Source organism: Homo sapiens, chromosome 16 (genome assembly GCF_000001405.40).
Source record: "Homo sapiens chromosome 16, GRCh38.p14 Primary Assembly".
Lineage (NCBI taxonomy): Eukaryota > Metazoa > Chordata > Mammalia > Primates > Hominidae > Homo > Homo sapiens.
In genome coordinates this window covers 73784764-73804720 of record NC_000016.10, presented here as the reverse complement: position 1 = coordinate 73804720, position 19957 = coordinate 73784764, and the positions used below count along the sequence as shown (strand labels likewise).

The 19957-nt window shown below is 42.4% G+C and overlaps 1 protein-coding gene across 1 annotated transcript in view, besides 1 other annotated feature; it reads left to right on the top strand.

Moving 5' to 3' along the window:
- Positions 1–19957, top strand: part of ZFHX3 (zinc finger homeobox 3) — a 1109046-nt gene that overhangs the window by 87210 nt on the left and 1001879 nt on the right. The gene's annotated exons all lie outside the window — the stretch shown is intronic.
- Positions 10054–13427: an enhancer, noted in NCBI's record as "VISTA enhancer hs1612". NCBI's record gives its function as "enhancer in: somite[4/4] | limb[4/4] | branchial arch[4/4] | facial mesenchyme[4/4]" and the evidence as "EXISTENCE:transgenic organism evidence [ECO:0001131][PMID:17130149]".

Sequence of the window (19957 nt, the reverse complement as noted above, 5' to 3'; positions counted from 1 at the left end):
AGCTGCATTTCTCCCAGGTGGGTCCAGGCATTGTGCAAGATCCACATATTTTTCAATAAAAGACTCATATTTGCCATGATGCTAGAAGCTTCTAATGGGCCTCTGAGGGTTGTAAATTATATCAAATGAGTTTCCAGATACTAAGCTGTTGTTTTTTAAGGGATAGAGAAGGGAAAGAAAGGTGCGGATAAAGCTTTCCTTGGCCCCTGAAATTACACCTCTTTCAACTGCATTTAATCAATGTTTCTGACTGCTTAATGCTCATCCATTCAACAAACATATACTGGGTATCACCTATGTGAGAGGTGCCATTTTGGACTGCGTGGCCATCCTTGGGTGGCTTGCCATCTGTAGGGATCTTATTGGTAAAGCTGTTAGAACTTGGTGTAGTTTTTGTTTTTCAGTATTTTAATTGTGTTGTTACTGTTTTATCACATCTTAATTGTAGCAAGCGAAATAATATATAATTATGTGTATAGAAGGTAACTAATGTTCCACTCTTCCTCCTCGTTCCTCCTACCCCTTGTAATTTATGTTTCTAGTTTTGTTTTTGTTTTTGTTTTTTGAGACAGGGTCTGCTCTGGCATCCAAGCTGGAGTGCAGTAGCACAATCTCGGCTCACTGGAGCCTCAGCCTCCCAGGCTAAAGTGATCTTCCCACCTCATCCTCCCGAGTTGCTAGGGCTACAGATGTGTGCCACCACTCCCAGTTAATTTTTGTATTTTTTGTAGAGACGCGGTTTTGCCATGTTGCCCAGACTGGTCTCATCCTGGGCTCAAGCCATCTGCATGCCTTGGCTTCCCAGAGTGCTGGGGTTACAGACATGAGCCACTGTGCCTGGCTGTTTCTAGTAATTTGATGGATATCTTTCTGTATCATTATCTTTGTTCACAGACACACACGCAGAAAAATTGTTCCTTTTATTTTACTTTATAAAACTGACATTACACATATTACTCTGAAATGTGCTTTTAAAAACTTACTAACGTATAAAGAACATCTTTTCAAGTCTTGTTCTTTTTAGTAATTGTAATTGCAGAATAAGTCTAACAAAATATAGACACCCATTTGCCTATTCATAAGGCTTTAGGTGAATCAAGATTTTTCAAACATAACATTCAAGAATTAAATAAACATCCTTCTACATATTTTATTATATATTTGTGCTTTTACTTCTGTTCTGTTCAATAGGCTCTCATAAATGTGATTATCATGTCAAAGGGTAAGTGAATTTTTAGTCTTTAATAAGCACAGCTTGATTATTTTCCTTAAATCTTGTAGCAATTTATATTTCCTTCAGTAATATATTGGAGTATTTTCATTCTTAACGTTATCCCCAGCGCTAGCTATTATCAAGGTCTTAAGTTTTGTCAACAATGACAACTGATATACCTCAACACTGAACATACCTCAACTGAACATACCTCAACACTGATGTGTTATTGTTGCTTTAATGACATTTGCGGGACTGTCTCTGGAGTTGGGTATCTTTTGTACATTTCTTGACTATTTGCATTTCCTGTTCTATAAATTTCTACTCGTATCTTTGCCTGTTTTCTTTTGAGTTGTCTTCTTTCTTATTGGTTAATAGGAGCTTCGCATATTAGAAATAATAATGCTGTCCTGGTACGGTGGCTCATGCCTGTAATCCCAGCACTTTGGGAGGCTGAGGCGGGCAAATCTCCTGAGGTCAGGAGTTCAAGACCAGCCTGGCCATCTCTACTAAAAAGCAAAAATTAGCTGGGTGTGGTGGCGTGTGCCTGTGATCCCAGCTCCTCAGGAGGCTGAGGCAGGAGAATTGCTTGAACCTGGGAAGTGGAGGTTGCAGTGAGTCGAGATTGTGCCATTGCACTCTAGCCTGGGCAACAGAGTGAGGCTCTATTAAAAAACAAAAACAAAAAGAAATCATAATGCTTTGTTGATAATTTACTCTAAGAATATAAAATATAATATATACCTGCTTATTGTAATAATGTCTATTGTTATTTTGTTCTTGTTTAGAAAACATCCCTCTTCAACCTTTAGTTCTGGTGTCCATCAAAAAAGGGCAGAGCAGTGTCCATTTCTAGTACTTTGTGCCTACAGTGTGACATTCAAGTCTAGTACTGTCACTTACCCCAGGCAGAGCTGCGACCTGTATTAGTCTGTCCTTTCTCATTCTTTTCCCTGAGTTTAGTGTAGGCTCACCTGCCAGCCAAACACCTTGTGTCCTATCATCAGTGTCTGGGATACTTCTGCTAGAAAATACTGGGGATTCTTTCAACCACAAAATGAGACTTTTGAAAGTCATGGTCATCAAAAGATAAATTAGCATTTCCTAAAATCTCAAGCCATTGCTTACACTGGGAAACACCCATAGCAAATTATCTAGAGTTTGGCATGGGGCTCACTGGCCCCTCCCTTCCCTGTGGAGTCACATTTTTGATGGCCTTCGCTTTGTCACCTCTTGGTCCCTCCTTCCTGAAGAGGTCATCAGAATTGCCTAATATCTCTGACAATTTGATACTATCATCCTGGGAGTGGGGTTTTATGAAGAATCAACTTATTTAAAAAAAAAAGTCACACATTTTGCATCTAACATATTGTTAAGGCACAGTTTCCACAGCCCGGGGCTTTAAGGACTTTGGTACATCACTGCGGTCACTGATGCATTTGTTACCTTTGACAGGACTGACACACTGTCCTTCATAAACAAGGATGACTTCAGGATGCATGCTTTCAGGTGGGCTGTTCCTCTAACGGCGAGGAGAGATCCAAATTTGCACACATCTCCCTGCCCTTCTTTTGACTAAGCTATTAGAGAAAGCCAGAATGTGAGAGCTGCAAGGAACTCAGGCAAGACAACTGAGGCAGAGAAAGTAAAATGAACACGCCCAAGTTGCAGAGCATGTTGTTGCACACTAAGAGTCTTTGTGGAATCGGGACAACTGTAGACACAGCAATGACCACACTCGCATATAAAAACAGGGTCAAGTAGACCCATCAGCACATGTATCACCATATCAGTGGGATGCTGACCACTTCTGGAATTTGTAAAGGTAATTCAGAGCCACGCTTTAGAGGAAGAAGAGGGTCTGGACTTCTGCACTTGTTTTGTAGTGGTTGCAGAAATGGAAACACAGGGAAATGAAGTGATATGCCTAAAATTAATGTAGTAATTAGCAGCAGTGTCGAAACTCAAATTCACATGCCCTGATTTTTTGATCTAGTCCATTCTTTCCTGGTTTATGCTGTCTCCTGGCTGGCAGAATTAGTTGCAAACCAATTTTTTTGGAGGACCAGTAGCTATCAGAGGAAAGGATTGAACACCGCCTTCATGTGTAACCCTTTAACCCACCTCCTACCTAAGGAGGATTATATTGTTTCATTTATTCGTTCAGAAAATATGTATTGGTCATTCCCTGTGTTAGGGGCTCAATAAATATTTGTAGAATTGTATTGAACTGGTTTGAATTGCTCAGGCACCAGAGATAGGGGCCTGAGTCAGTAACTAAGGTTTTGTTTTACCAGTGGGGATAAAAAAGGCAGCCGATGAAAATAAACAAATCCCTTTTTAACAATTCCACTAAAAACATATGCTATATAATTGAATATAAGTACAAATAGAAGGCACCTGGTACAGCTTGTTCCAACTTCTCTTTTATTAGAATCTAAGTGGTAGCATTCATTTCCAGGCAGTGTCAATGCTGTTGGTTTTGCTCATTACGGGGAGGTTATAGTTATTGCACTCTAAAGGGAGGAGCCTCACGTTTATAACTACCAGGGCAGGCAAGTGGCCGAAGAACGGAGACACATGAGCTGATGGGCCTTTTACAGAGTCAGTGTGTCAGAAATCATCATCAAAAAGCAGAGTGTCCCTTCCCCGTGGCCTGCTCTCACACAGAAGGATGGGTGCTGTTTTTCTTTTGGGGGTAGACGGAGTCTGAACTTCAGCCCAGAGGATGCTGGCTGACTCCGGGTCAGGTGCCCAGGGGCAGATGGAGTTGGGCAGCTCAAAAGGATGACACGACCACAGTGCTGTCAGACTCAGAAACCAATTGAGAAAGCCCCAGGGGCTGTGGTCTTGGAGGAGCCCTGATGTTTCATTATTTTAACTTTAACTGGCAAGAGTAGAATTTATGGACAAGCTTCAGAACAGGGGGAAAGAGGAAGAGGAGGAGGAGGAGGAAGAAGAAGAAAAAGCACAACATAAATAACAATAGTAGGCCCAGCACGGTGGCTCATGCCTGTAATCGCAGCTCTTTGGGAGGCCAAAGCAGATGGATCACCTGAGGTCAGGAGTTCGAGACCAGCCTGACCAATATGGTGAAACCCCGTCTCTACTAAAAATACAAAAATTAGCCAGGCGGGTGGTGTGCATCTGTAGTCCCAGCTACTCGAAAGGCTGAGACGGGAGAATTGCTTGAACCTGGGAGGTGGAAGTTTCAATGAGCTGAAATTGCGTCACTGTGCTCCAGCCTGGGTGACAGAGTGAGACTCCATCTAAAAAAAAAAAAATTACAATAGTAATTTATGGGCCAACAAAAAGCAGTCTTGCGCCACGGTGGCAGTCCTTAATAAATACATGTCTGAGGCTTATGAGGTTGTAATATCCTCATGTTTGTAGATGATTTCTATAGAAGTCATTGTTTTATTAAACAATTATTAAATAATTATTAAACATTGTTTTATATTAAAATTTTTAATATACAAATTAACTCTTTTTTGTAGAGACAGGGTCTTGCTATGTTGCTTAGGCTGATCTCGGGGAGATCCTCCTCGGCCTCCCAAAGTGTTGGGATTCCAGATGAGGGCACTACACCTGGCCTTAAGTCGTTGTTGTTATTATTCGTGTACGTTATGTGCATCCTATGTGCGTGTTTGGTAATGAAAGACAAAAGTCAATATTGGGACTTTTGATTCTCTTAAATGGGAGAGTGAGATGCTTTTTGTCTCCCACATTCTTCACAGCTTAGCTGGAAGCAATTTCAAAAAGACAGGAGATCGCCTTTGGGGTTGATTCTGTCTGATTTCCCCTTCTGCTCAGGAGGTTTCAAGGAAGAACTGGAGCCCAAATAGAGTTGCTTTCCTGCATCCCTTTCTTCCTGAGAGGAAGCAGGGGAAGGCTTTTTTCTTCCCATGGGAACCTCAGTGTGGAGTCTTTGCTGTTTCCAGGGGATGTGAGCAACAGGTGCACCAGGAGCCTGGGTACCAGCTCCCTGAGTGCAGCAAGCATCTCTCTTCCCTTCTCCATCTTTGCAGATGAGAATGCTGCCTGCAAGGGAAGGCCAAAGAAACCTGCCTCAATTCACTCTGCTGTCTGGATGCTCTGTAGCCTCATCCTAAATGCCTGATGTCATCCACTGTCGTAATATGGGCCTACTTGGGAATTCACCTATGGAGTTTTAAATAAGATACACATCATTTACACTCATATAGCATCTTCCCATGTTCAGAAACACTTTTATAGATATTACATATTTAGTCATTGTATCAGCTCTTTGAAGTGGCTATTACTCATTGGCATTTTATAGATAAAGAGATTGAGGGTCGGGGAGGTGGAATGTTTCTTAGGGTTGCCTTCTCATCTCACCTCTATCACCTCATTGGTGCCTCCAGGGTAATACAGCATTTGCCACAGGGCTGGAGACAGAGCTTGCTTTTTTACCCCATTGCAAATTCCAAATAGACACATCAGGTTCGGGGCAGCTTTGATGACATTTAGTGCTTAGAGCAGCTTCCACTGAGGAGCATGGACTTAGGAAAGCTGTATTCTAGGAGTCTGTTTCTGATTATTTAATGTTAGCAGGACATTTGAAGAAGCCAAAGAATTTGTATAATGATTCAGACATCAGGCAGGGTTTTCGTGTCCTAAAATCTCTAGGAGGGACGGACAAGCTCATCCCCCTCCAAACACGTCCCATGAGAATGAGATGCCCTTCATGGTGTTTCTGTACATTTCCAAAGGGCTTAAGCACCCTGTGGTTACCCCTGGCCCCACACTTGTGCTTCTGCTGAATCGGTTGATGTTGGAAATGGTCTTGACGTCCTTCTGTCATCTGTGATGTACAACAGAGCTGAGGAGCTCAGCCAACTTCCTGAATTTCCTTCAGACAAGCTATTCCCACAAGATGTGTGCCTGTGTGTGTGTGTGTGTGTCTGTGTGTGTGCACCTGTGTGTAGATTGCACTGAAGCTTTGGGAAGACGGGAGAATTTACAGATCAGTATCTGGGTCCTTTTATGGTTTGGGTTCCCATTTCCTTTTTTTGGGGGGTATCTCTCCTCTCTCCTTTTCCTTTTTTCCTCACATGCACCTTCTCCTTAAATTTTGGCCTGTTTTAAATGCATTTCAGCTTAGCTACCCCCCACCTTGTTAACTTCTCACCCATGCCCTCAAGGTCTCACCTTTCCCCCAAGCATCTCTCCAAGAATATCTTCCCTAAAAAGAGAATTCCGCCTCCCCACCCCCAGAGGAATTCTGATGCCAGCAGAGACCATGTTTTCCATCTCATTACTTCAATAAATAGTAACACAACAAACCAAAGCCCAGTCTTGAATGCACAATTGGTCTGAACATTATAGTAGTGACAACAGTGTTATTACTACCTTATAGTTACTGAAAGTCTCAGAAGGACCGAGTGCGGTGGTTTCTGTATATAATCTCAGCACTTTGAGAGGCCAAGGCAGGTGGATCACTTGAGGTCAGGAGTTTGAGACCAGCCTGGGCAACATGGTGAAACCCCATGTCTACTAAAAAAACACAAAAATTGGCTGGATATAGTGGCGAGCGCCTGTAATCCCAGGGAGGCTGAGGCAGGAGAATCACTTGAACCCAGGAGAAAGAGGTTGAGTGAGCCAAGATTGTACCATTACACTCCAGCCTGGGTGACAAGAGTGCAATTGCTTCTCAAAAAAAAAAAAAAAAAAAAAAAAGTCTTCAGAAGGCTTGTCCTATACATAAGCATGTTTTATCCACAAGTAATTCCTATTATTCTAATTTTTAGACGAAGAAACTGAAGGTCATGCAGAGCCAGAAATAGAGTGCAAGCTTCCTGACTTACCCATGGTTCTTTCTCCACCGTACCAGTGTAGATCCAAATCTCTACCAGCCCCTGCCTCTACCGTGGTTGGCTTCTGAATTTCATTGTCATACAATGAATCATACTTGAAAATTTCAGGCATTCTCTGGCCATCACAGATTTATAATTTCCACTGACCTCCCTGGGCCTAAACCTCTGCGGAACTGGCTTTTTGCATTTTGACAATCCTAAACATTTAACCAGCAGCCTGTGTTGGACTCATGGGCCCTCTGCCATTTGTTGCTTTGTGCAGTTCCAGAAACACAGGTTCATGAGGGCTCTGGCCCTACAGGAGCAGGTCAGGAAACTGCTGCAAATGTGTAACCTGATTCTTTAAAACTCAGAGTAATTTTAGCCTCAGCACTGGCTGCTTCATCTTGGATGCTACAACTGGACTGCATAAACAGTGCTTCACTACTTCTGTTTTGTTGTTGTTGTTGTTGTTTGTTTGTTTTTTTGAGATAGAGTTTCACTCTTGTCACCCAGGTTGGAGTGCAATGGTATGATCTTGGCTCACTGCCACCTCTGCCTCCTGGGTTCAAGCCATTCTCCTGCCTCAGCCTCCCAAGCACTTGGGATTACAGGCATGTGCCACCCTGCCTGGCTAATTTTTTTTTTTTTTAGTAGAGACAGGGTTTCGCCATGTTGGCCAGGCTGGTCTCGAACTCCCGACCTCTGGTGATCCACCCGCCTTGGCCTCCCAAAGTGCTGGGATTACAGGCGTGAGCCACTGCACTCAGCCTTCACTTTTCCACATAACATTTCTTCAGCCTGGAAGCTCTTCAGTGCAAGGGATCCAGGACATGTTACAGCCCCAACAAGGAAGGGGTTAATGTTGTTTTACCCCAGGATTTCATGAACAAGCTGTGAGCCAGTTTTGGGTCCCCTTTGCCATCTCTTTATGTCGTTGTCCCCACTCTCTCCCCGAAGCATGCATTATCTGGACCATTAAGGAACCCATCAGCAGAGGTGCCATGACCTCTGGCTGACCTTGACCTGCTGCTGTCCTGCCTTGCACTCCAATTACTGCGATATGTGGAGGCAACCACAGGCTCGGAGCCCCTCTAACGCTCATAGCTTTGTCAGGTCCTCACCTCCTCTCACTGGCATCGGGTGACTTCTAGATCCTGCCAGGGTTTCTCTTCTGACATGACATGTGTACTCATTCTGAAATGAAAACTACAAAGCTGCAGTTGGTCTCTCTTATTGGAAAACTGTAATTTTCCACTGCCTGGGCTGTTTTCCTTGGATGATGGGCTGCAAGAAGAAACAGTGAGAATATGACAAGATTGGTTCATTTCTTTGCTACCAGCAACATTATTTTTTCTTACTGTTCAGGCATCTAGAGTTTTGTTGACTTGATACTCCCCAGTCTCTTTGCATCTGTCTTTTAGACCTCATCTTCATCCCTAAATTGGCAGTGGCTGTGCAAAAGGTTTAATGGTTTGGGTAATACTTTGTGCTATTTTAAATAACTATTTTTTCTCTGAGCATGAATAATAAAAAAGTTATGCTTTGTATTTTAGAGGCAAAAGAAAATTAGGTACTTGTTACATAATACAATCATGACATTATATAACACATTTTTCTACTGGAAATAATGTCCCAAGCTCTGCTGTTCCCCAATTTGCTGTGATTCACGCAATGGCCGTTTGTTAAACCCATCTATTTACCAAATTCAGGGCTGTATTAGGCTGAACCTTATGGATTTGCCAATTTTATAGATTAAAAGCATTGAAATATCAGCAATTTTATAGGGTCCAACCTACACCAGCAGCACAGGGCAAAATCTAATAGGAAGTGGGAGAGGCCATCTAATCTATCCTCCTGTGTCCAGGCAGAATTTGTATTTCAGTCATGCCCAGAGGGACCTCTTAACTCACACTTTTAAACATCTGTTGTCAAAGAATTGAAATTCTGAATGCAATTCTGGGTTAGTTAAGGGATTGATGATCAATGTCAAATCAGGGAACAGGTCATTCTGGAAACTGGGCAGCAGTGGCCACAGTCGTTGTTCTTCATGATTCTGTAGGACACCTGTCATGTCGTACTGCTCTTCCTAGGGACAATCAGGGTTTTAATGAGATAGAAAGGTTCTCTATTCAGGATTTTAATGAGATAGAAAGGTTCTCTATTCAGGGTTTTAATGAGATAGAAAGGTGGTTCTCTGTTCTTGTCATCTCTCATCAGCCAAGCCTGCATTTCCAGGCTCATCGAAAACCAATGAAGACTGACTCTCGTTTGCAACCTGCCTGAGCTTGTGCCTCTCAGGTCTTGGCCCTGAACATGGTGATAGCAGCTGTTACACAGCCTGCTTTGGCTGCCTGAGCAAGAGGGGTCCTCAAAACGAAGAGAATGAATCTGCTCTATTCAAGCAATGGAATTTCCAGACAAAGCAAAGTCATGGGAATAGTCTTTGGAGTCTGGAGAGAGTTTTCTTGGCATATGTATCAGAGCCAGATGCTCAGGGTATTTGATCCTCCTCCCAGACTCCTGGCTGCGGTCTGAGCCTGGGACCTCTGTGTACTACTGCTCCTTTGGCTGGCAGCTCATGACACTGAGAGGAGTCAGTTTGAAGTATGTGTTTGCTTGAGCCAATACTTGTTCCAAGCACTGAGCTTCCTTTCCAAGAGCTGATTGTTTTGTTGCCGATAAAAGTGCAGCCAACCAGTCCTGGGTGTGTTTATGAATAGCATGTGAAGGCACAATTTTTAGACACTTTTTTTATGGTAATGAACAGAGGCATCTCCCTTCATTTACCTAGAACATGAACTGAGAACTTCTGTACCCCATGACATTATTCCAAAATGAAAGGCACAAAGTTTGGATGGGGGAGGTATGATCACAGAGATTTCTATGTAATATGTAAACCCTATTTAAATGAGATAAAAGCGTCTAATCGATAGCCCTTTATAGACTCCCATCTGTTGCAGGAAAAGGTATAGAATAATTGGTTAAATAGGAAAGATGTAAAGCTGTTGAGTCTGAGATCTGGGTTCAGCCACTTGATGTGAATGAGTTTGCACTGTCTACTCTTACAGGGCCTCAGTTGCGTCATTTGCAAAGGGGGGGTCCCTATGTCCCCTCTCAGGATCGCCTCATGGTTATAAAGCACAGTCGTGGGAACAACAATAATTTGAATAAAGGACCATGCAACCTAAAGGTGTTGAGTGTCTTTTACCCTCTAGGGTGGTTCTTATTAGACATCTCATTAGATTAGATGGCTTTGCCTGACTGGACAGAAGGCTAGGCTAGTATATGCCGCAGAAGTGAATGTTTCTTGAAATTGATGAGCAGCTTGGAGTCCCTGCCAATTTCTCACCTGGCCGTCAGGGAGCAGCTGTGGTGGAGAAGGGCTGGGAGGGGGTCTGGGGTGGCCTAGGGGTCTCCTCATGGAAGACACTCCTTCACAACCAGCCCTCGATGTCCACCCTCCTGTAGCTTGTGGTGACCGAGGGAGCTCCTTCCAAACCCAGCTTTCTGGGGTCTGATGAAAGCCTGCTCCAATCACTTTCCCGTGGCCTTTAACCTAAAAAGATTACATTTCGCGGGGGCGGTTGGAGAGCAGGCGAGGACCAGCCTGCTGTCAGAGGACAAAATCAAATTTTTATGTGATGTTGCTGCATTAAAAGGGCCAATCTCGTGTCATGTAACATGTGAATAATGGCTCTAGCATGTGATGTCAAAATTTTCCACACGCCTCATAAATAAATCCAGCCACACCCCTCCCCCCAATCACCACCCAAAGGCTATCCATTTTTGAACCTCAGCTTGCATCCCAAATTAAGAATGCGTTCAGAGTCAAGGTTAAAGGTACAGTATCCCCTTTCAAAAGGCACATGCCAGCGTCTCTGCTGAGAATGAGAAATAACATTTGAAACAGGCTGTCAATTGTCGGGACTCCTCCTCCTCTTATTCCTCTTCATTCCAAACCTAACTTTTCTGAAGGTCTGATCTTTTGGAAAAAAAAATAGATGCTGTATTAGGGCAAGACTTGATGAAATTTTTTTAAAGAAAGCCACTTGAATGAGATCTCTTGGCAGGGAGGAGAATCACACAGTCAAATAGTCCAGTGATCTTCAAGAATGAAGGAACTAGATACAGCACAGCTACAATTAGTATGAACCGCGTAGTCAAGCAAAGTGCTTTTTATTGCAAGGAGCATATTTTCGTTGGAGATATGTTGGCTTGCATCAAGGTACCAGGCACAGATGCTGACATTGAAGCCTGGAAATGATGATGTTTGCCAAGGAGATGCTTCCTTTTCATTGTCTCACGTGACCAACACAGGTGGCTTTCAGAAATAAGAATCCAAGCCATCCTTAGGTATCACTCTCTTTCTTTGAATCTCAAAGATTGGTCAACAGTCAATGTACAGAGAAATTTTTTTCCTACAAAATTCAGCTTGGTTGAAAGCTTTCTTGCTGAAGCAAAGCCACATCTTATTCCCCCTGAAGGAAAGAATGCCTTTTTTGTTTGTTTGTTTTTCCATTGTACAGAGGGACAGAAGGAAGAAATAGGAAGGCACAGGAGGGCTGAGAACCAAGGCAAAGAACAAGAGGGAAATTTGGCTTAATTTTCATATAAGCTGAAGTCCCCCTGTCTGCTGTCTGCATCCCTCCCTTCTCTCCCCGTCTCCCAAACAAAGGCAGCATCTTTCTCAGATAATGCCGCTTGTGTCAGAAGCGAACATTCTGGGAATGTGCAGGGTGACCTGCTCTCTGTAACAAACGTCAACCCCAAACCATACAGAAGTTGCTACATCTGTTTTGGCTTTGTTCACAGCAGAGAGGGGAGGGGGGGGGTGCACTGTATGGTCAAGGGCCAAACTACATGTCATATTTCATTACCTTCATTAGCTACTACAGAAGGCTGCCTTCAAAGAAAAAGGTTGGTATTAACCCTTGAGCCGCCAGCCTTTTCGAACAACCGTTTTCACCTTCACCCACCACTTGCCATTCTCCATTCGTTCATGCTGTGGGCTCTGATTTAACTAAACTGTAAATCAGCCCTTAGGTCCACAATTTCACCCTTTTAACTTAAAGGAGGCAAGCTACTGTTTTATCCTAGGTAGCTACTTACAGGACGGCTGAACATCTGGAACCTATTAGGACAAATGCGAGCGTAAACCCAATGGGGAAAGTGTATTTAGAATTAATAAAACTTTCCTCTCTTATTTTGTCCACAGTTGTCTTTTTCTCTTCCATCTCACATTATTTCTGTGATTTAGTATTGCCAGCTCCTTTCTTGGTTGCTGCAGTGAGATAAGATCATGTGTATTGCTGCCTAGATATTTTTGTGGCACTTCTTTTGGCGTGCTTTATTGTGGTGACATTGGACTCACATGGTCGCCGCCCCTGGAAATGAGTTCATTCCCCCGTATTCATGTTGCATTTCTTAAGGCATGCTTTACAATGGCGGAAATAAAAGTGGGTGAATACATAAAATAGATCTTTATACTGTATGACTATAAAAATGCTCAGTTTTCATGCTGCGTATTAAATGCATCATGATTCTATTTTAAATCATCTGTGGGCAGCATATGTTGTTATTTAATCTTATGAAGAATGGCTAGTTGGCCAGCACAGGTCAGAACACACCTGGATGGTAGAATTAGGAGTCTGGAATTTTGATTCTTCATTCTGGCTCTGCCATTGATTTATCACCAGGCATTAGACAAAGTTCTTGCTCTTAATTTTCCCATCTGTAAACTACGAATCATTATACTACTATGAAGGCTCTGTAAGCTTGAATGGCTTCATACTTTGAAAGGCCTGGAGAAGACAATACTTGAGAATACTATGCCATTTAGCATACTATAACACTCATTTATTTTCATTAATACATATTTGAAAGTTCTAAACCAGTGGTTTGCAAGTGCGGTTCCCAGACCTGCAACATTAGCGTTATCCGGGAATTTGTTAGAAATGCAAATTCTAGGCTGGGTGCGGTGGCTCACGCCTGTAATCCCAGCACTTTGGGAGGCCGAGGTGGACGGAACACGAGGTCAGGAGATCGAGACCATCCTGGCCAACATGGTGAAACCCCATCTCTATTAAAATACAAAAAATTAGCTGGGCATGGTGGTGTGCGCCTGTAGTCCTGGCTACTCAGGAGGCTGAGGCAGGGGAATCACTTGAACCTGGGAGACGGAGGTCGCAGTGAGCCAAGATGGCGCCGCTGCACTCCGGCCTGGCAACAGAGCAAGACTCCATCTCAAAAAAAATTAAAAAATGAAAAATAAATAAATAAGTAAATGCAAATTCTGGGCCCGGGTCAGGCTTACTGAATCAGAAATTGATGGTGGAGTAATTCCGATGCACACTACCGTTTGAGAACTACTGATCTATACATTTGGCGTCAAGCTTGGGACTCTGCCAGTCAAAAGAGAAGTTGGGGCTGGGCACGGTGGCTCATGCCTGTAATCCCAGCACTTTGGGTGGCTGAGGCAGGAGGATTGCTTGAGTCCAGGCATTTGAGACCAGCCTGGGCAACACAGCAAGATCCTGTCTCTACAAAAAATAGAAAAATTAGCCAGGTGTGGTGGTGCAAACCTGTAGTCCCAGCTACTTGGGAGGCTGAGGAGGGAGGATCACTTGAGTCCAGGTATTTGAGGTTACAGTGAGCTGTGATTGTGCCGCTGCACTCCAGCCTGGGCAACAGAATGAGACCCTGTCTCTAAAATACAACAAAAAACCTGAGGTTGGAGTGGAAGGTAAGCACAACAAGAATTGTACCTGAAACTGGTGACCTCAGGAAGCCGCTCTACTCTGGTGAGGAATGTGTGGGCACGTTCCAGTTCTGACTGGTGGAAGATGCCAAGGCAAACTTGAGTTTCTCATTTTCCAGGGAACTTTGTAATTTCTGCTGAGCAACTTTGGTGCACAAAACTCAACAGCCCATGGCTCAGTGTCCATCTAATGATGGTTAGGATGCAGCTTCACATGCCAACAAAATAAAATTTCCATGAAGATTGGCAACCATCACCAGAATAAGGCCACCAGCCTTGCATTTGGAACTCAAGTGTACTCAAGGGCAAAGTGATGCCACAGAAAGCACCTAGAACATCTCTGGAGTTGGGACAATAAAAGGAAGAAAGTTACTTTGCAGATTATACCCTTTGAGGTGGAAAGAGAGGAGAAATGGCAGAAAATAATGTTTAAAGTTGAAATTGCTTAGCTCTCAGTGGCTGAGTCATAAGCATCCACCTTTTCACATTTTACAAGAGTTTTTATAAAAAACAAGCACAGAACAGATACCCACTTTTGTAAACCAGTAGCAATGTGTAAATTGCAGATGCAAGAATATATGTTGTAAGTTGGTTTTTAATAGACAACTGTATCTAGTGCCACTTTTTCTCTATAATGACGGTTTCCAAAAATGAAAAAAAAAAAAAGACACTCCCTTTTTATCCCCTTTTGATGTTTCAGATCCCTGTAAGATCCAGGATACATTCTGAATTTGAGAGAAGTGCCAACAATTAGGACAATTTTTTTGTTACTATTTTTAACCTCAGAACAGCCAACCCAATTCTCCCTCCTCTAAATTTGTCCCTAAGTTTGGTCCTACAATGAGACCTTTTGCATGGCAAGTTTCAGCCTGGAGCAAATTTTTATGGCTGAATTATAAACCCTTGAAAATAGGGGTTTATAATGGAAACGCTGACACAACCTTAACTCCAGCGGCGAGAGTGCAATGCGATAATAAATGAGGCAGAACGGCAAAGTGCTGCTTTGAATTTATCATTTAGTAGGAGAAAAAGGCCTTGTTTACTTCTCCTTTTTCATCTTCTTCTCTGCTTCCAGGACTTGGAACCATTATTTTGAAATGTATTTTATAATAAAACCTCAGTGGTTATGTAGCCCGGGGCTTGAGTGTCCATTTTAGAAAGAGAGAGAGAGAAATTTTTGAAGCCCAAGAAGCACATTCTGTTGACTGGATACGGTTTGACTGTACAATTGCTGCCTGGCAACGTATTTATTACATATCTGCCCCTCTGCTGTGATCTAAAAGCACCCCACACATAGGATCTGATTTTGACATATCTGTAATACTAGCGGTAAAAATAATAATAATATTTGCAATTCCTTCTAGCACTTTTATTCCAGACATCAGTGTGTTTTGAACCTACAGATTACAGCCTTTGAAATCAGTTATGTCATGAAGTTTAATATCTTTTCCCAGCCGGGCACGGTGGCTCACGCCTGTAATCCCAGCAGTTTGGGAAGCTGAGGTGGGCGGATCATGAGGTCAGGAAATAGAGACCATCCTGGCTAACATGGTGAAACCCCGTCTCTACTAAAAATGCAAAAAATTAGCCGGGTGTGCTGACATGCACCTGTAGTCCCAGCTACTCTGGAGGCTGAGGCAGGAGAATCGCTTGAACCTGGGAGGCGTTGGTTATAGTGAGTTGATATCACACCACTGCACCGCAGCCTGGGTGACAGAGTGAGACTCCATCTCAAAAAAAATAAATAATAAAAAAATCCATATCTATCCATATATAAAATACCTATATGATAGATATCTATCATATAGATATCATATATATCTACAAGATATCTGTATATGTTGTCTATTTATAAGATATATATGATATATATAAGATATCTATATATAGATACATAAACACACTGATGTCTGGAATAAAAGTGCTAGAAGGAATTGCAAATATTATTGTTATTTTTACCGCTACTATTATAGACATGCCAAAATCAGATCCCATGTGTGGCTCACACCTGTAATCCCAGCACTTTGGGAGGCCAAGGTGGGCGGATCTCCTGCCTCAGCCTCCCGAGTAGCTGGGACTACAGGCACGTGCCGGCACACCCAGCTAATTTTTTGCATTTTTAGTAGAGATGGGGTTTCACCACGTTAGCCAGGATGGTCTCTATTTCCTGACCTCATGATCTATATATAGATATATCTATATATAGATATATATATATTTTCCTATTCCCCTACATTCCCATTTTGTAGATAGAGAAACTGAGGTGATTTATGATTTGTGTGATTTCTTTCAATTCAGTTGTTACTAGTTGTCTGCGTGCTAAGCACTGGGCTGGGGATACTAAAAAGCATAACCTCTGCTCTCCCAGAACTTACGACCTAATGGGCAGAGCAGACATACAACACACAAGAGTAATGATGTGAGGCATGATAACAAGAGAAGTCTGTTGTGAAGTCACTTTGTATAATAATTTGGGTATTCACCTACCCCCAACCCTGACACGATCACTTCTATTTCTTCTGAGGAGTCCAAGGACACGAAGTCTCTTATATAAACCTGTGCTGGGTGTTTTGCCCTCTCTACTATTCTCTCCAAGCCCAGGGGATGACCTTTATCCACTGAATGCTACCTTCCTTTGCCATTTAGTTTCTACTTTGGTTTGTCCAATAAGAGTGCTCAGCAGAAGAATGGAAGGCAGGAGGAGAGTGAGGTCGTGGTATTTTACTCTGGTTCTTCCCTACCTGGCTCAGAATTGGTTGTCTTTCTCTACTGAAGCCTACAGCTCCTGTGTGCCACCTTCTCCTACAGCTACTGTTCTTGCCAGGTTCTGGTGGCACCTTCAGATCTAGCGGTGGTGAGGGCACCATGTTGTTTTTTAGCTCCCAGAGTGCTCCACTGTTCCTTCTGGGTTTCCTTAAACTCAGCTTGCACCTCTGCAAACAGTCCCTTTGTTAAACTCTCTTCAGCTACCCCAGTGGAATGCGTGTGAATTGCTTCCTGCTGGGCCCTGACCGATACAAAAACTGGACAGAATGATGTGCATTCCCCTACATTCTCTCTCTCTCTCTCTCTCTCTTTCACACACACACACACACACACACACACACACACACACACTTTAAGAAAACAGTGACAGTGTTTAGGCAGAAAATTTATAGAGTAGGCCTATCCAGTGTTGGGATTTGTGGTGAGTACATTATGAAGTCACTTCTTATGATTCCTATGCCAGATAGTGCATCCATCATTCAAGGCGGCAAGCCCCTGAAATTACATCAGATTTACCACATAATAAACTTTCATTAAGATGAAGCTACATGAAACTTATTTCCCTTCATTCCTAGGACTAAACAAATGCTGTTTGAATACCTAATGAATCCAGGTCTCACCCAAATTGTTAATGGTGGCATGAGGATTTTAGAGAGGATGCAACCAGGAGCCACAGAACATGCCAGGCCATGGAACATCCTGGACAGCTGAACAGTACTTATATTGTTGCCATCAGTTTTCTTCAGTCATCCAAAATGGGACGCATGGGGCCGCTTGCTGAGGTTGATCCGTGCTTGCACCCACCATACAGATTCCTGAGTGCATTTTAATCACAGTGTGTCTGGTGCTTTATTGAAGGGTTTACACTGTCTGGTTGCTTTTCCCTCCTCTGATATTGCACTGGATAAATCAGTGATGATCATTTGTTAGCATTCCAGAGAGGAAACACCCCAATGATAGGATGGAAATGCTTTGCCAAAAAGCATCTCCTAAGAAGATGTAACTCAGAAACATGGCAGCTTGAACACATGAGTTTCTTTACCCTCTCCCAAAGCCTTACTAAAATGACAGTTAAAGTATGAAAAAGCATACAATCTTGAGGACAAAAAGCATAGAAAAGGAAATTATGGCACAAAAGAAATGTCACTAAAATTCTAGAAGCTGGACTGATGGTAACTGATTTAGTGGATGACAGAAAGATGAAACCACATGCCTGAAAAAGACAACACCAAGAATTGAGCCAGTCTGAGGTGCTGGAACATGAAAACCTCAGCTATTGGAGGCTCTGGCTGCCTCTGTGGGTATGGGTACGGGAAGAGCTAGGAATAGGACAACTGGCTGGAAGTTGCATAAAAGACAGTCGATCCTCTGGACTCTCTCACCCTGTTCTTCTAAGCAAAGACCTCTTTCCCTAAATTCATCAGAAGCCTGGAGCTTTGGAGAGGCTGAACAGGCTCTGACTTGGGGTATCAGGCACCCATGGAATAGGGATGTTATTCCATGCACATGGGAATGAAATGAGGTTGGCATCTGAAATATTGAGACCTCTTTGGCCCCCCCTGCCACTTGGTTAGGAGGATATTGTTGTCCAGGCTTATCACCTCCAGGCTGGAATTGAGAGGATTCCTCCTTCTAAGGAAATTCACCAGCCCAAGATAAAAGATGTACAGATACTGTCAGCTGAGATCCCGAAGAAACAACCAGGTCCCTTCCTGAACACAGAGACCACCAACACAACACAGAGCTTCCAACAGTTTTTTTTTATGTGTCTCATTTTATAATATGAATCAATAGAAAATGCTTATCCAGACATTTGAGGGAAACTTTATGACAATTACAGGGGGAAGAAAAGAGAAAAATGAACTCAGAGGAAACAGAAGCAGTGCAGAAAGTAGAAGAAAACATATAAACAAAATTAAAGTATTCAGAGACACAAAGGAAGAGGCCACATCCATGAAATAAGAGTAGGATGCTGTTAAAAAAAAAAATCATTCTGGCTGGGCACGGTGGCTCACACCTGTAATCCCAGCACTTTGGGAGGCCAAGGCAGGTGGATCATCTGAGGTCGGGAGTTCGAGACCAGCCTGACCAATATGGAGAAAGCCCGTCTCTACTAAAAAACACAAAATTAGCCAAGTGTGGTGGTGCATGCCTGTAATCCCACCTACTCAGAAGGTTGAGGTGGGAGAATCGCTTGAACCTGGGAGGTGGAGGTTGTGGTGAGCCAAGATCGCACCATTGCACTCCAGCCTGGGAAACAAGAGTGAAACTCCATCTCAAAAAAAAAAATCATTCAAGATTAGAAATGGTTACAAAGTACCCAGGCAACAAATGAATATGGCAGAAATTTCATATAAACAAGGATTAAACATTTCAGAGAGGAGAGAAGACCTAATATGAATAACATCAGCTTTCCCAATAGAAGCTCTGGAAATGAGAAGATAATAAATGTTGAGTAAAAATTATTTCCAGTGTAGAACTTAATGCCCAGCCAAAGTGTTGCTTAAGCATGAGGGTAGGATTTACCCTGCACCCACCACCCCACCTTTATACCGATAAAGATGGAAACCTAAAAAAAGAACTCATGAGTATTCAGGGAATAGGTGATTGAACACCAGAAGGAGGCAAATGGAATTCTCAGGATGATGGTGAAGAGACATCTCAGAGTGACTGCAGGGCAGAAGCCTTTTTAGAAACCCAATCTAATTTACAGCAATAAGACTAGAGCTCTAGATATCTCTGAGAAACAAAAAATGACTAGGATATATAAGATAGATTGTCTGATGTATTTAAATTTATTCACAGAAAATTCATTTATGTGGAAGAATTTGGGGATAAATTTTTGGTAGATACATAGAAAACAGAGCAGACAGAAAAGCAAGGATGTTACTAACTCTTGGAAAAACAAAAAGTTGGTACAAAAGAACTGTAGTTATAATAAACCACATGGCTTATTTGTGAATAATGTTTATTAATACAATTATAATGTATACAGCAAATAGTATTGTAACTAAAAACTGTTACATAACTATATAATGAGAATGTTATGTGTGTTCATGTGCACACATGATGTACTTACAAATTGTAAGAGATTTGAATCCTCGTTTTCCATAGTTTGAAATCAAACAATATTTTAAGAGAAAATCAGGAAACATTAGTAAACACAGATTAGTTAGAAACATGGAGGCAAATACCAGAAGAAACAACTAAAAGAGCTGAAAGTGGTTTCCTCTGGGAAGCAGGAATTAGGTGTGGGAAGAACGTGAAGCATGGGACCACTATTCCTCATTAGAGGACTTATGGAACTGCTTGGCTTTTTCAGACTATATGTGTGTGTGTGTGTGTGTGTATATATATATATATATATATTTTTTTTTTTATTTTGTTAAAAATAGTTTTTTA